The 18,531-nt window shown below is 36.6% G+C and overlaps 1 protein-coding gene across 17 annotated transcripts in view; it reads right to left on the bottom strand.

The window, feature by feature from the left end:
• PCBP3 (poly(rC) binding protein 3) overlaps positions 1 to 18,531 on the bottom strand; it is a 298,726-nt gene that overhangs the window by 270,673 nt on the left and 9,522 nt on the right. For 11 of the 17 annotated variants that reach the window (NR_145492.2, NR_189734.1, NM_001348242.2 and 8 more), the window contains 1 exon segment: positions 2,826 to 2,904. The exons of 4 other annotated variants lie outside the window; for them this stretch is intronic. The gene's annotated coding sequence lies outside the window, so the exon portion shown is untranslated. 17 annotated transcript variants of the gene reach the window in all.

Below are 18,531 nucleotides of genomic sequence, written 5' to 3'. Positions count from 1 at the left end.
CACAGCTTTAACCTCACTCCAGTCTAACCTCCTTGTAGATAAGATTTACAGACACTCATCAAAAAATTGTCCCCACTTACTGATACCATCCCACTTTCTTGAACCCTCCCCCAAATCACCTAACCAAAGCCCAAATCCTGTAACAGGTTCTTTCTAACGCCCTCTTACCACAACACCCCATGGTTCCCAGGTGAGTGTCTAGTGGCCTTTGCTTAGAAAACATTGATAGATGCCTTCATAATACTTGCCCATGGGATGTTGCTCTAACTGTGGACCAAGAACTGATGTTTATCTTCCATTCTCCCCTTCCAAAATGGAAGTTTTAAAAATTGCAATTGGCTTGGTTTGGCTCCACTATTGTACAGTGTGAACAGCAGACAACCTGTGTGTCAGTTCAGTCATCAAACGACAAGAGCGACAACTGGATTTGATAAAGACCACACAATGCTAGAAATCCATCCTTTGTGCAAGACACAGTAACTGGGGCAACTCTGGATTGTGTCCCTGGAGAGATGAGTGCATGACAGTCGTGAAAGAAGGGTGTGCCAAGGCGAAGGACTGAGGCAGATAACTAACTGTTCATAAAGAACTGTGCTCCCCTTTCCCAGGACAGCATTGAAACTGGGAAGCAACTGTCAACCACAAACAACACACTGCAGATTTCATGCCTGCATCTAGATAGAACCCCATCACTGGATCTTGCCAGTGGAAAGTATGAAGAGATACAGATCATGGTCCTCGTCACTTTTGGGCCAACATGGCTGAGAAGCATGTGTGCCTTCTCCATGTGTGCTCTCTCATCTGCCAGCTGGACTGACAGGAAGCTGGGCCTAGAGGATAAGGATGCCACCTCCGTAGCAGATGGCATGACCACCCACTGTGAGGAGCTGGGCCGAATCACCACACAGAGGAAACCTGATCACTGATGAGGTACATCCACAGTGAACTGTTACATGAGCAAGAAGTAAATTTTACCATGTAAGGCCCTGAAATTTGTGGGATTGAAAGTTAACCAAAATATCCAAAAATTGGGGGGAAGAGATACAGAGTAAAAGCATGAATCAGATACTGAGAAACCACCCCTCAATTTGCACTGGAACCACAAAGGGCTAACCCCTCAAGGTAAAGAATAAGTCCTCAGAAGCAAGTCAGCCCTCCCAAGCACTGAGCCTTTGTTCTACTCATCCGGTTGTCCTTAAGACTACACTGGATTAAGCTTGCTCCTTTAAGAACCTTAGCAGTACCTGATGAAAACCTCTCTAAAAACAATAATCATCCCAAATTATTTCAAATTATTCCTCAAAATATTCTGCAAATACAAATGTCTAGTAGCCTAAAAGAAATTAGTGACCCATTGAGGAAGAAAGAGTAGAAATCACAGAAAACAAAAACATATCTACAAAGACAAGAAGTTGGAATTACCCAACATAGTCTATTTTAACAACTACACTTGTATAATAACAAAAACCCAAACAACCCAATTAAAAATCTGGCAAATGACCTGAATAGACATTTCTCTCAATAACACATACTACTGGGCAATAAGCACAAGAAAAAATGGTCAACATTACTAATCATTAGAGAAAAGCAAATCAAAACTACAAAGAGATGTCACCTCATACCCATTAGAATAGCTATTATCAAAATAATAATAAGTGTTGGTTAGGATGTGGAGAAGCTGGAACCCTTGTGCATTGCTGGTAGAAATGTAAAATGCGGAGCTGCTATGAAAACAATACAGTCATTCCTCAAAAAGTTAAGAAAAGTATTAGCATATGATCTAGTAATTCCATTTCTAGGTATAGGCACAAATTAAGTAAAAGCAAGGGACTCAAATATTTGTATACCCAAGTTCATGGCAGCATTATTCACTATAGCCAAAAGGTAGATGCAACCCAAGTGTCCATCAAAGAATGAATAAACAAAATGTGATATATATATATATATATATATATATATATATATATATATACACACACACACACACACAATGGAATATTATTCAGTCTTAAAAAGGGAAGAAATTCCAACACATGCTACAACATGGATGAACCCTGAAGACAGTACGCTACATTAAATAAGCCAGTCACAAAAGGAAAAATATTTATGACTTCACTTATATGAAGTATCTATAGTAGTCAAATTCATAGAAACAGAAAGTAGAATGGTAGTTGCCAGGGGTTTGGGAGAGGGAGTTATTGTTTAATGTGTAAAGAGTTTCAGTTTTGCAAGATGAAAAGAGTATTGGAGATGGATGGTTGCACAACAACATGAATGTACTTAATGTCACAGAATTGTACACATAAAATGTACTCTTTAAAATGGCAAATTTTATGTTATATATGTTTAACTAAAATTTTAAAACTATAGTTGCTATAGTTAAAAACAGAAACAATAAATTAGAAGCTACAAAAAGTAACAGTTTCAATTTTTTTTAATCTAAAACTGAAAAGTTATAAAGTCATGAATGGGTTTTAAAGCAGATTGAGTGCTGCTGAAGAAAGAATTGGTGAACTGGAAACTAGGTCAAAATAAAATAAAATATTCAAAGTAAAGTGGAGTGGCCAAAATCCAGAAATATAAGAGAGAGCATGAGAATATATGGTGAGAAATCTAACACAAATTTAATCAGAGTCCCAGAAAGAAAGAAAAGAGATGATGCAGAAGCAATAGCTGAAGAAAATGGCAGTGAATTTTCCAGACTTATGAAAGACATCATGTCATAGATACAAGAAGCCAACATACCTCAGGCAGGGATGCATGGAACTTAGTGAAACCACAGAAACCTAAGGATAATTGGAAAATCCTTTATGGCAATAGATTACCTCCAGAGGATAGCAGTTACATTTACTTCAGAACAGGAACAAGAAAAGCCAGATGCTGTGGAAATATATCTCCAATGTGCTGAAAAAAAATAATGCCAACATTAAATTCAATATACGGAAACAAAATCTTTTAAGAATAACATGAGAGTGTGATATCAGTGAAAATAGTAAAGTAAGAACTTCCAAAAATCCCTTCTTTCCCAAAAGCAATTTTTAAATGCCAAAAATTGGCCAAATCAACTTTTTTTTTAGAAATCTAGAAATTTAACCAAAGGCTTGCCACAATCTGGAGAACATTTCTTAAAGAAAAATGGTTAAATATCCTAAGAACATAAATTTTGTAATATTTTAACCTGCCCTATTCCCATCCCCCCACCCCCAACCCTACCCCAGCTCTATAGTAGTCTTGAAAACCAACCACCTACAATCAGAGTGAAAACCAACAGCCTGGCAGCAACAGAAGAGGACAAAACAGAGTTAGAGCTCCTTCAAAGTCTTATTATTTGTTATGGCTAACAGGTTCCACTTGCCAGGTTACATTTATTTGACCTGACACGGAGCTCACTGAAAAGTATTTTCCTTAGAGGTATCTTTCAAAACAAAGACAATTGTTTAATTTTGTGACTACCTGAGACAGTGGACAACAGTTGGAACAAATAATATATTAACTCAAAAGCTTAAAAGGAAAATCTGGGGAATGAGATGCCCACAGGGTATTAAAAACTGTATATTTCTGGAAATCTAGAAGGCCATGGTGCATACATAGAGCTATGCACCTACTCAAGGTTGTGCGAATGCCCAGAAAAGAAACTGGAGTGCCCTGAGATAGCCCTAAGCTCTCACACTGAGCTGACATTGAGACTCTGCACAATCAGAAAATGAAGGCTAAGGCACTTATAAACTGGTAGGTTACACACATGGGGTCTCTTGGGAAAGTCTATGAGACTCACTGATTCCAGGCATTTAAGGAAACGTCTGTCCAATTATTAGCTGACCACTAAACTATTCAAGTACAGAGTCAGTGAAGATACATGACAAAGAATACAGACTTTACAGAGTTAGTTCAGGAAAGTCACTACATAAACAAATGAACAGAAACTACTATAACAAGCAGCAGCAACAACAACAACAAAAAAAATGGAAGAAAGGAGAATCAGATTTCCAGAGTTGCCACATTATATTATTTAAAACATAAAGTTTTCAAAAAAGTACTATGACACATACAAAGAAACAGGAAAATATGGCCCATACACAGGGAAAGAAAAAGCAATCAATAGAAACTGTTCCCAAGGAAGCCCCAGTGTTGGACTTTACATAACCTATTTTAAACATATTTGAATAACTAAAGGAAGCCATGTCTAAAGGATTAAAGAATGGCAGTGTTGTTTCACCAAGCAGATATCAATAAAGAAACAAATTATAAAAATAAACCAAATAAAAATTCTGGAGTTAAAAAATATGATAATTGAAATAGCACATTCATTAGAGTGGTTCAACATCATATTTGAACAGGCAGGAGAATCAGTAAGCTTGATGATAGATCAACTGAGATTAACCAATCTAAGGAACAGAAAGTAAAGAAGTTAAAAAAAAAATGAGCTGAAACTCAGAGCCCTGTGGGAAACCACCAAGAATACCAACAGATGGCCAACCATGGTGGCTCACACCTGTAATCCCAACATTTTGGGAGGCTGAGGTGGAAGGATGGCTTAAGGTTGGGAGTTCAAGACCAGCCTGGGCAACATAGTGAGAACTCATCTCTACAAAAATGGAATGAATGAATAAATGAATGAATGAGAGAAAGAAAGAAAAAGGGAAGGGAAGGGAAGGGGGAAAGAAAGAAAAAGAAAGAAAGAAAGAAAGAAAGAAAGAAAGAACAAACAGATGCATAATGAAACTCTCAGAAGGAGAGAAAATAAAGGGGTACAAAGAATATATGAAAGGATTATAATTGAAAACCTCCCAGATCTGATGGAAAAAATTATACATTCAATAACCTCAATAAGCTTCAAGGATAAACTCAAAGACATCCACACCTAAATATATTATAATCAAACTATCAAAAGACAAAGAGTTGTGAAAGCAGCAAGAGAGTAACTCATTAAAAAGGGATTCTCAAATCACTTGAACCCGGAAGGCATAGGTTGCAGTGAGCTGAGATCGCGCTATTACACACCAGTCTGGAGACAGAGCAAGACCCCATCTAAAAAAAAAAAAAAAATTCTCAATAAGAACAATAGCGGATTTCTCACCAGAAACCACAGAAACTAGAAGGCTGTAGGATAACATATGCAAAATCATGAAAGAAAAAGACTGTCAAACAAGAATTCTATATCCAGAAAAATTATTCTGCAAAAACAAAGGAGAAATTAAGACACTCTCAAATAAAAGCTGAGAGAATATGTCACTAGAAAACCTACCTAACAAGAAACAGTAAAAGGAGTCCTTCAGGCTTAAATTAAAGGACACTAGATAGTACAGAAAATCCAGGTGAATGAATAAACAGCACCAGTAAAGATATAACTATAATGGTAAATATAAAAGACAGTATAAATGTAACTTGTTTGTAACCCTTTCCTCCTACTTGATTTAAAAGATAACTACATACCATCGATGAACAGAAATAGTATTATTTCCTCTTTTCCAAAATGGATGCCTTTTATTTCTTTCTCTTACCTGACTGCTCTGGCTAGGACTTCCAGTATTATGATGAATAAGGGTGGTGAAAATGGACATCCTTGTTTTGTTCCAATTCTTAGAGGGAATGCTTTAGGCGTTTCCTCATTCAGAATGATGTTGGCTGTGGGTCTTTCATAAATGGTTTGAATTATTTTGAGGTATGTTCCTTCTATGCCTAGTTTATTGAGGATTTTTTCATGAAAAGATGAATTTTATTAAATGCTTTTTCTGCATCTATTGAGATAATCATATGGCTTTTGTTTTTAATTCTGTTTATGTGGTAAATCACATTTAATGATTTACATATGTTGAACCATCCTTGCATCCCTGGAACAAAACCCACTTAATTGTGGTGTATTATCTTTTTGATACGTTGTTGGATTTCGATTGCTAGTATTTTGTTGGGGATTTCTGCATGTATTTTCATCAATGATATTGGTCTCTAGAGTTTTCTTTTTCATTGTATCCTTGCCTGGCTTTGGTTTTGGGGTAATACTAGCTTCACAGAATGAGTTAGGGAGAAGGCCCTCCTCCTCAATTTTTTGGAATAGTTTCAGTAGGATTAGTACCGGTTCTTCTTTACACATCTGGTAGAATTCAGCTGTGATTCCATTTGGTCCTGGGCTTTGTTTTATTGGGAGAATTTTTGTTACTGATTCAATCTCGCTACTTGTTATTGGTCTGTTCAGGATTTCTACTAATTTCTTCCTGGTTCAACCTTGGAAGGTCGTATGTTTGGATATGATCTTGTACCTAGAAAGCCCTAAAGACTCTTATAAATGATTCCTGGATTTGATAAATGAATTCAGTAGAGTTTCGGGATACAAAATTAACTAACAAAAATCAGTAGCACTTCTTTTTTTTTAAAGGTGGGATCTCACTCTGTGACATAGGCCGGGGTGCAATGGTGTGATCAAGGCTCACTGTAGCCTCAAACTCCTGAGCTCAAGTGATTCTCCCACCTCAGCCCCCCAAGGAGCTAGGACTACAGGCATGTACCACCATGCCTGTCTAATTTTTTATTTTTATTTTTTTGTAGATATGGGGTCTCATCATGTTACCCAGGGCAGTCTTGAACTCCTGGCCTCAAGTGATCCTCCTGCCTTGGCCTCCCAAAATGCTGGAATTATAGGCATGAACCACTGTACCCCAGCAGTAGTATTTCTAAACACCAATAACAATCAAGCTGAAAACCAAATAAAGAACTCAATTTCATTTGTGATAGCTACAAAAAAATAATAAAATACCTAGGAATACATTTAACCATGAAGGTGAAAGATTTCTACAAGGACAACTGCAAAATGCTGATGAAAGAAACTGTAGATGACACAACCATATGAAAAACATCACGGATGAAATTGGAAATCATCATTCTCAGTAAACTATCGCAAGAACAAAAAACCAAACACCGCATATTCTCACTCATAGGTGGGAATTGAACAATGAGATCACATGGACACAGGAAAGGGAATATCACACTCTGGGGACTGTGGTGGGGTGGGGGGGAGGGGGGAGGGATAGCATTGGGAGATATACCTAATGCTAGATGACGAGTTAGTGGGTGCAGCGCACCAGCATGGCACATGTATACATATGTAACTAACCTGCACAATGTGCACATGTACCCTAAAACTTAAAGTATAATAAAAAAAGAAAAGAAAAAAAAAATTAAAAAAAATAAAAGCTCTTTGTCTCTGAAAGAAATTAAGAAAATATATTTAGCTAATGTTATTATAATTTTAGTCCCCTTGAAATATTCTATCCTGTATATTTGAATTTCTGTATGGTATTATTTTACTTTGTCTTGGATAACTTTTTTTTTCACTTCTCATAGTGCACATTTGCTGGCAATTAATTCTCTTTGCTTTCAATTGAACTGAAAATGCCTTTATTTCACCTTCAGTTTTGAAGGATATTTTTGTTAAATATGGAGTTCTAGGTTGATAGTTTATTTTCTTTCATCACATTAAAAATATTGTACAATTGCCTTCTAGCTTCTATTATTTTTGGTGAGAAGTTGTTTGTGATTTATATTATTATTATTCTTATATTATTATTATTCTGTATATATGTGATTTCTTTCTGACTTCTTTTAGGATTTTATCTTTATTTTTAGTTCAAACAGTTTCACTATGCTATTTCTAGGTGTGATTTATGCGTGTGTGTATTTACTCTCCTTGGGTTTTACTGAGTTTATTATACATGTGAGTTTGTATTTTTAATAAAAGTTGGAAACAGTTAAAAAAAAAAAAAGAAAAAAAAAGAAAAACATCCTATGCTCATGAATTGGAAAAATCAGTATAATAAAATGAACATACTGCCCAAAGCAATCCACAGATTCAATGCAATTCCTATCAGAACACTAATGTCATTTTTCATAGAGTTAGGGAAAACAATCATACAATTCATATGGAACCAAAAAGAGCCCAAATAACCAAATCAAAAAGAACAAGGCTAGAGGCATCACATTACCTGACTTCAAATTATACTACAAGGCTACAGTAACCAAAACAGAATGGTACTGGTATTAAAAGAGACACATAGATCAATGGGGACAGAATAGAAAATCAGAAATAAAGCCACACACCAACAGAAAACTGATCTTTGAAAAGTTAACAAAACACTGGGGAAAAACACTCTATTCAATAAATGATGCTAGGAAAACTGGATAGCCATACGCAGAAGAAAACTAGACCCTTATCTCTCACCATATACAAAAATTAACTCAAGATGGATTAAAAACTTAAATGTAAGACCTAAAACTATAAAAATTCCAGAAAACCTAGGAAAGATGTAGGGACCAGCCCCACAGGGTCGGTGGGTTTTCCTCCCTATGCACAGAGATGAGAGATGGCAGAAATAAAGACACAAGACAAAGAGATAAAAGAAAAAACAGCTGGGCCCGGGCGACCACTACCACCAAGACGCGGACACCAGTAGTGGCCCCGAATGCCAGGCTGCGCTGTTATTTATTGGATACAAGACAAGGGGGCAGGGTAAGGAGTGTGAGCCATCTGCAATGATAGGTAAGGTCACGTGGGTCACGTGTTCACTGGACAGGGGGCCCTTCCCTGTTTGGCAGCCAAGGTGGAGAGAGAGAGAGAGAGAGAGGAGACAGCTTACGCCATTATTTCTGCATATCAGAGACTTTTAGTACTTTCACTAATTTTGCTACTGTTGTCAGAAGGCAGAGCCAGGTGTACAGGATGGAACATGAAAGCGGACCAGGAGTGTGACAGCTGAAGCACAGTATCACAGGGAGACGGTTAAGCCTCCAGATAACTGTGGGCAGGCCTGACTGATGTCAGGCCCTCCACAAGAGGTGGTGTAGTAGAGTCTTTTCTAAACTCCCCCAGGGAAAGGGAGACTCCCTTTCCCAGTCTGCTAAGTAGCGGGTGCTTTTCCTTGGCACTGACGCTACCACTAAACCACAGTCCACTTGGCAACAGACACTGGCATTACCGCTAGACCAAGGAGCCCTCTAATGGCCCTGTCCAGGTGTGACAGAGGGCTCACACTCTTGTCTTCTGGTCACTTCTCATCATGTCCCTTCAGCTCCTATTTCTGTATGGCCCGGTTTTTTCTAGGTTATGATTGTAGAGCGGGGATTATTATATTATTTGAATAAAGAGTAATTACTACAAACTAATGATTAGTGATACTTACATATAATCATATCTATGATCTATATCTAGTATAACTCTTGTTATTTTATATATTTTATTATACTGGAACAGCTCGTGCCCTCAGTCTCTTGCCTCAGCACCTGGGTGGCTTGCCGCCCACAGAAAAACTCTTCTGGACATTGGCCTAGGCAAATAATTCATGACTAAGACCTCAAAAGCAAATGCAGGCCAGGCACAGTGGCTCACACCTGTAATCCCAACACTCTGGAAGGCTGAAGGCAGGCAGATTGCTTGAGCCCAGGAGCTCAGGACCAGCCTAAGCAATATGGTGAAACCCCATCTCTACAAAAAAAAAAAAAAAAAAAAAAAAAAAAAACTTAGGTATATTGGCACATACCTGTAGTCCCAACTACTTGAGAGGCTGAGACAGGAGGATCACTTGAGCCTGGGAGGCAGAGGCTGCAGTGAACCGAGATCAACAATAACAAAAATAGACAAATGGGACTTAATAATAACTTAAAAGTGTCTACACAGCAAAAATAATCATCAACAGAGTGAAGAGACAACCTGCAGAATGGGAGAAATATCTGCAAACTATACATCCAACAAAAGACTAATATCCAGGATCTACAAGAAACTCAAACAACTCGACAAGAAAAAAAAATAACCCCATTAAAAGTAAGCAAACATGAACAGGCATTTTTCAAAAGATATACAAATGGCCAAAAAACATTTGAAAAAGTGCTCAACATCACTAATCACCAGAGAAATGCAAATTAAAACAACAATGAGATATCATCTTACAACACTCAGAATGGCTATTATTAAAAAGTCAAAAAATGACAGATGTTGGCAAGTATGCAGAGAAAAGGAACACAAATGTAAATTAGTACAATCTCTATGGAAAACAGTGTGGAGATTTCTCAAAGAACTAAAAATAGAAATAGAACTACCATTTGATCTGGCAATCCCACTACTGGCTATCTACCCAAAGGAAAAGAAATCACTGTATCAAAAAGATGCTTGTACTCGTATGTTATTACAGCACTATTCATGATAGAAAGATATGGAACCAACCTAAGTATCCATCAACAGCTGACTGGATAAAGAAAATGTAGTATACATATACCAAAAAATACTACTAAGCCACATAAAAAAATGAAATCATGTCCTTTGCAGCAACATGGATAGAAATGGAGGCCATTATCTTAAGTGAAATAATTCAGAAAGTCAAATACCATATATTCTCACTTACGAGAGAATATGGGAGCTAAGTAATATATACACATGGACACACAGAATGTAATAATAGACACCAGATATTTGGAAAGGTGGGAGGGTGAGAGGGGGTGGGGAATGAGAAATTACCTAATGGTTAAAATGTACACTATTCAGGTGATGCTTATACTAAAAGCCTAGACTTCACCAGCATGCAATATATGCATGTAATAAAACTGTACTTGTTCCCTCTAAATCTATTTTTAAATTGAAAAATAAAAATTATTAAAAACAAAACTGTAACAAGTACAGATAACTGTAAAAGCCAGTAATTACAAATCTGTGTTGAAGTGAACAGAATGTACAAGATATATATATATATTTTTTTTGAGATGGAGTTTTCCTTTGTCTCCTAGGCTGTAGTGCAATGGTGCAATCTCAGCTCACTGCAACCTCTGCCTCCTGGGTTCAAGCAATTCTCCTGTCTCAGCCTCCCTAGTAGCTGCAATTACAGGCATGCACCACCACTCCCGGCTAATTTTTGTTATTTTTTAGTAAAGACGGGGTTTCACCATGTTGGCCAGGCTGGTCTCGAACTCCTGACCTCAAGTGATCTGTCCGCGTCGGCCTCCCAAAGTGTTGGGCTTACAGGTGTGAGCCACCATGCCCAGCAAGATGTACTTTGTATGACAATAACAGCACAAAGGAAGAAGGAGGGAATGGAGATATACAGAAGCAAAGTTTCTGTATACTAGTGAAATTAGACTGGTACTAATCCAAACTAAACTGTTACAAATTGCCAGTAGTAAGACCCCAAGTAACCCCTAAGAAAATAAAAAATAGTAAAATAAATGAAAATATCTATTTAACACAAAGTCAGTAATGGAGTAATAGAAAATTCAAAAAGACATTGCATAGAGAAAACAAGAAGCAAAATGGCTGGCATAAATTTCACCTTGTCAAAATTGCATTAAATGTAAATGGATTAAACATTCCAATATAAGCACAGAAATTGTCTAAATGGATTTTTTAATGATTCAGTTATATGTAGTATACAAGAAAGACACTTAAATACAACGAACAAATAAGTTAAAAGCATGGAAAAATATATACAATGCAAACAGTAACCAAAGGAGAGCTTGAATGGCTATATTAACATCAGAAAAAAACGGTCTTTAATACAAAAATTGTTATTACAGACAAAGAATATTTTATAACTATAAAAAGGTCAATTCATCAAGAAGCTCTAACAATTATATACATATATATACATATATATATGTGTGTGTGTATACATATAAAATAAAGCCCCAGAATGCATGAAACAAAAAATTAAGAGAAAAAAGGGAGAATCAGACAGTTCAACAGTAACAGTTGGAAACTTCAAAAGTCCGTTTTCAATACAGGATGGAATGCAAGACAGAAAATCAGAAAGAAAACAAAAGATTTAAACAATACTAATAAACTAATTAGACCTAGCAGACATTTATAGAATTCTCCATTCAAAAAGCAGAAAACACATTATTCTCAAATACACATGGAACATTCTCTAGAACAGACCAGGTGTTAGCCAAGAAAATAAGTCCCAAAATTTTAAAGGATTGAAGTAATATAAAATATGTTCCCCAACCACAAGGGAAAAAAATAGAAATCAGTAACAGATAAAAATTTAAGAAATTCAAAAGTTTGTGGAAATTTAACAATACACTGCTAAATAACCAGAGTCAAGGGAGAAACCACAAGGGAAATTAGAAAATACTTTGAGATCATTAAAAATGAGGCCAGGCACAGTGGCTAACGCCTGTAATCCCAGCACTTTGGGAGGCCATAGCGGGAGGACTGCTTGAGCCCAGGAGTTCGAGACCAGTCTGAGCAACATGACAAGACACTGTGTCTCACAAAAAATTAAAAAATTAGCCAGGTGTAGGGGAATGCACCTATAGTCCCACCTACTCAGGAGGATGAGGTGGGAAGATCGTTTGAGCTCAGGAGACTCAAAGTTGAGGCTGCAGTGAGTTGTGATGGCACCAATGCACTTTAGCCTGGGTGTCAGACCAAGGCCCTGTCTCAAAAAAAAAAAAAAAAAAAAAAAGGAAAGTAAAAGAAAGCACAACATATCAAAACTTATGAAAGGCAGTAAAAGCAGTTCTTACAAAATTATAGCTGTAAACACCTATGTTAAAAGAGAAATATCTCAAATCAATAACCTAACGTTCTACCTTAAGAAATCAGAAAAAGAGCCAACTAAACCTTTGCAAGTGGAAGAAAGAAAAAAACAAATATTCGAGCAAAAATGAAACAGAAAATAGAAAAACAACAATGAAACCAAAGTTTTTTTTTTAAAAAAAGACCAATGAAACTGACAAACTTTTATCTAGAATGACCAAGAAAAAAAGAGGGAAGACTCAATTTACTAAAATCAGAAAGAAAACTACCAACCTTACAGAAATAAAAGGACTATAAAGAAATATTATGAACAACTGATGGCCAATAAATTAGATAACCTAGGTGAAATTCACAAATTCCTAGAAAGACAGAAACTATCAAAACTTAAAAAACAGTACATCTGAAAAAAACCTAAAACAAGTAAAGATATTCAGTATTTTAAAAATTTCCCACAAGGAAAAATTAGAAACAGATGGCTTCACTATTAAATTCTATCAAACATTTAAAGAATGAACACCAATCCTTCACAAGGAGAAACGGACACTTGCCAACTCATTCTATAAGGCCAGTATTACCCTAATACCAAAACCAGACAAAGAGATCACAAGAAAACTATAGATTAACATGTCTTAAGAATACAAACTTAAAAATCCTTAACAAGGCTGGGTGTGGCGGCTCATGTCTGTAATCCCAGCATTTTGGGATGCCAGGGCAGGCAGAGCACTTGAGGTCAGGAGTTCAAGACCAGCCTGGCCAACATGGTAAGACCCTGTCTCAACTAAAAATTCAAAAATTAGCCATGCATGGTGGCACGCACCTGTCATCCCAGCTACTCAGGAGGCTGAGGCAGGAGAGTCGCTTGACTCCAGGAGGCAGAGGCTGCAGTGAGCTGAGATCGCACCTCTGCACTCCAGCCTGGGTGACAAAGTGAGACTCCATCTCAAAAAATCCTCAACAAAACACTTGCAAAACCGAATCCACCAATATATAAAAAGGATTATATGCCATGACAAGTGGGATTTATCTAGGGAATTCAAAGTTGGCTCAACATACAAAACTGAATCAATGTAATACATGACATTAATATAATAAAGGACAAAAATAACAGTATAGATGCAGGAAAAGCATCTGACAACATTCAACACGCTTTCATGATAATAACACTCAACAAAATAGGGATAGAAGGGAAATTCCTCAACCTAATTAAGGGCATCTATAAAAATTCACAGCTACCTATACTTACTGGTGAGAGGCTAAAAGCTTTCCCCCTAAGATAAGGAACAAACAATGATGTCCACCCTTGCCACAACAATTAAACATTGTGTTAAAGCTTATAACCAGGGCAATTACATGAGAAAAATTTTAAAAAGGCATGCAGATTAGAAGCAAAGAATTAAAAGTATCTATATCTGCAGATAATATAATCTTGCATATAAAAAATCCTCAGGAATCCACTAAAAAACTATTATAGCTACTAAATCCTATGCTCATGGATTGGAAAACTTAATATTGTTAACCTGACAATACTCCCCGAATTATCTACAGATTCAATTAATCCCCATCAAAATTCTACCTGCCTTTTTTTTTTTCCAGAAAGTGACAAACCAAACCTAAAAATCATATGAAAATGCAAGGGACCAGGAATAACCAAAATAAATAAAAAGACCAAAGTTGAAGGACTCACACTTTCCAATCTTAAAACTTACTACAAAGCTACAATAATCAAGACTGTGTGCTGCTGGCATAGAGAGAGACATATAGGTCCATGGAATAGAGTTGAGAGTTCAGAAATAAACCCATATTTTATGGTCAACTGAGTTTTGACAGAAGTGCTAAGGCCATTCAATAGGTAGTCTTTTGAACAAATGGTACTAGGACTAGACAGCCACAGGCAGAAGAATGAAGTTAAACTCCTCCTTCATACCATAGACAAAAATTAACTCAAAACGCACCAAAGACCTAAATTTCAGAGCTAAAACTATAAAACCCTTAGAATAAAACGGAGGTGTAAATCTTTGTGACCTAGGATTAAGCAATGTCTTAAATATGACAAAGCACAAGCAACAAAAGAAAAAAATAGATAAATGCAGTATTACCAAAATAAAAATCATTTGTGCATCAAAGGATACTATCAAGAAAATGAGGCTGGGCACGGTAGTTCACACCTGTAATCCCAGCACTTTGGGAGGCCGAGGCAGGTGGATCACGAGGTCAGGAGAGCGAGACCATCCTGGCTAACACGGTGAAACCCTGTCTCTACTAAAAATACAAAAAATTAGCCAGGCGCAGTGGCGGGCACCTGTAGTCCCAGCTACTCGGGAGGCTGAGGCAGGAGAATGGCATGAACCTGGGAGGCAGAGCTTGCAGTGAGCCGAGGTTGCGCCACTGCACTCTAGCCTAGGCGACAGAGCAAAACTCTGTCTCAAGAAAGAAAGAAAAGAAAATGAAAAGACTACTCACAGTTGGAGGGAAAATATTTGCAAATCATATACCTGATAAGGGACTAACATACAGAATACATAAAGAACACTTACAACTCAGCGATAAAAAGACAATCCAGTTTTTAAATGGGCAAAGGATTTATTTATTTTTGTTTTTGTTTTCAGCTATTTTTTTTAATTTATTATACTTTAAGTTCTGGAATACATGTGCAGAACGTGCAGGTTTGTTACACAGGTATACACATGCCACGGTGGTTTGCTGCACCCATCAACCCGTCATCTACATTAGGTAGTTCTCCTAATGCTATCCCTCCCCTAGGCCCCCACCACCGACAGGCCCTGGTGTATGATGTTCCCCTCCCTGTGTCCATGTGTTCTCATTGTTCAACTCCCACTTATGAGTGAGAACATGCGGTGTTTGGTTTTCTGTTCTTGTGTTAGTTTGCTGAGAATGATGGTTTCCAGCTTCATCCATGTCCCTGCAAAGGATATGAACTCATCCTTTTTTATGGCTGCATAGTATTCCATGGTGTATATGTGCCACATTTTCTTTATCCAGTCTATCACTGATGGGCATTTGGGTGGGTTCCAAGTCTTTGCTATCGTGAACAATGCTGCAATAAACATATGCATGCATGTGTATTTACAGTAGAATGATTTATAATCCTTTGGGTATATACCCAGTAATGGGATTGCTGGGTCAAATGGTATTTCTGGTTCTAGATCCTTGAGAAATCGCCACACTGTCTTCCACAATGGTTGAACTAATTTATACTCCCACCAAAAGTGTAAAAGCTTTCCTATTTCTCCACATCCTCTCCAGCATCTGTTGTTTCCTGACTTTTTAAGGATTGCCATTCAAACTGGTGTGAGACGGTATCTCATTGTGGTTTTCATTTGCATTTCTCTAATGACCAGTTATGATGAGCATTTTTTCATGTGTCTGTTGGCTGCATAAATGTCTTCTTCTGTTCATATGCCTTGCCCACTTTTTGATGGGTTTTTTTTTCTTGAAAATTTGTTTAAGTACTTTGTAGGCTCTGGATATTAGACCGTTGTCAGATGGATAGATTGTAAAGACGTTCTCCCATTCTGTAGGTTGCCTGTTCACTCTGATGATAGTTTCTTTTGCTGTGCAGAAGCTCTTTAGTTTAATTAGATCCCATTTGTTAATTTTGGCTTCTGTTGCCATTGCTTTTGGTGTTTTAGTCATGAAGTCTTGGGCAAAGGATTTAAATAGCCATTTCTCCAAAGAAAAAACAAAAAGGGCCAATAAGCAGTACATAAAAAGGGCTGAATACCATCAGTCACTACAGAAATGCTAATTTATACCACAATATCTACTACTTCCCACCCACTACATGGCTATAATCAAAAAACTGGAAAATAACAAGTGTTTGAGAGAATAGAATGTGCAGAAATTGGAACCCTCATAAATTACTGATGGGAATATAAAATGGTGCAGCATTTTACATTCCAAATTGTTTGGAATTTTACATTGCCAAATTGTTTCCCGAAGATGTTGCAGCATCTTCGGGAAACAATTTGGCAGTTATTCAAAAAGTTAAACAGAGTTACTGTATGACTCAGCAATTCTACTTCTAGTGTAAACCAAGACAAGTGAAAACATATATTCATATGAAAACTCGTACTACTGTTCATAGCATGTTGTTCATAACAGCCAAAAAACAACCGAAATGTCTATCTACTGATGAATGGATAAACAAAATGCCATATATCGATACAACTGAATATTAGCCACAAAAAGGAATGAAATACTGATACATACTACAACATGGATAAAGCTTGAAAATGTTATGCAAAGTGAAAGAAGCCAGACACAAAAGGCCACATACTATATAATTCCACTCATATGAAATTTCCATAATGGGCAAATTCTTAGAGATGAAAACTAAATTCACAGTTGCCAGGGCCTTTGGGGAGGAAGAAACAGGTAGTTACTGTGTATGAGGTTTCTTTTTAAAGTGAAGAAAATGTTCTGGAATTATGTAGTAATGACAGTTGCATGACCTTGAAAATACACCAAAAAACACTCAATTGTAAACTTTAAAAGGGTGAATTTTATAGTGTGTGAATTATATCCCACAAAACGTTTAAGTAAATTGAAAGAATTTGTTAAAAGATGAAATAAAAATATTTTTAGATTAAAAAATATGTAATGTTGGCCAGGCGCGGTGGCTCACGCCTATAATCCCAGCACTTTGGGAGGCCAAGGTGGGCAGATCACGAGGTCAAGAGATTGAGACCATCCTAGCCAACATCGTGAAATCCTGTCTCTACTAAAAATACAAAAATTAGCTGGGCGTGGTGGCGTGCACCTGTAGTCCCAGCTACTGGGAAGGCTGAGGCAGGAGAATCACTTGAACCTGGGAGGTGGAGGCTGCAGTGAGCTGAGATCACGTCACTGCACTCCAGCCTGGCAACAGAGCAAGACTCCATCTCAAAAAAAAAAAAAAAAAAAAATGCAATGTCTACATCAGCTGACCTGCAATAAAGGAATTTCTAAAGAGGGCCCTTTGGGCAGAAATGAAATCATCCCAGAATAAGTTAGAAATGCCAGGGAGCAATGAAGAGCAAAGAAAAGACAAGTATCTGAATAAATCTAAATGAACACTAACTGTTAATATTACTGTTAATACAATACTGTTAATGTTACCAGTAATAATACTATTAATACCAATATTGTTAATATAATACCGTTAATATTAATTTATTTCACTGAATTTAAAAAGAATATATAGAATTAAAGTGCATAATAATAAGCACATATGAATCTGGAGGGGGGTCATAGAGTTCAAGTCTTCTAAGAAACTATGATCTGTCTAGGAGAAAGATAAAGGTATAACTACATTATCTGGATAAGTTAGTAACAATTTACACAATAACCACTAAAAGAACAAAAAATAGGACAATCTCCAAACTACTGGAGAAGGTGGAAAAATGGAATGATTTTTTCAAAAAATCACATTATCAGATTAAAATAATGCAAGAAAAGAGAGAAAAATAAACACAGAAAATGTAGGACAAGACAAATACATAATAGAATCGTAAATTTAAACCCAAATAGATCAGTAATTACATTTAATGTAAATGAACTGTTCCAATTAAAAGACAAAGACTGTCAGATTGAATGAAAAAAATATCTAACTATACTCTTTGCAAGAGACATACCTAAAGCATAAAACTATAGTAAGGTTGAGAATAAGATAAAAAACAAAGATAGTATGTAAATATGAGCCTAAAACATCTAGCATGGCTATGTTAATATTAACATCAGACATACCATATCATAAAGTCAAATATTAATTACTAGATATAAAGAGAACCAGTCATAATAATTAAAGTCTCCATTCATCAGGAAGACCTAATAGTTTTAAATCTGTGTGGCCCTGACAACACAGTCTCAAAAATTTATACATAAAAACTGGCAGAACTGCTAGAAAAAATAAGACAAATCCATAATCATCATGAAATTGTGTAATTATCTCAGTAATGAATATAACAACCAAAAAAAACTAGTAAGAAAGCAGATGTAACATGCTTACCAACTCAGCT

This window comes from Homo sapiens, chromosome 21 (assembly GCF_000001405.40).
Source record: "Homo sapiens chromosome 21, GRCh38.p14 Primary Assembly".
NCBI classification, from domain to species: Eukaryota; Metazoa; Chordata; class Mammalia; order Primates; family Hominidae; genus Homo; species Homo sapiens.
Note: the sequence above shows the minus strand (reverse complement) of the source record. Positions and strands in the feature narration are given on the sequence as shown.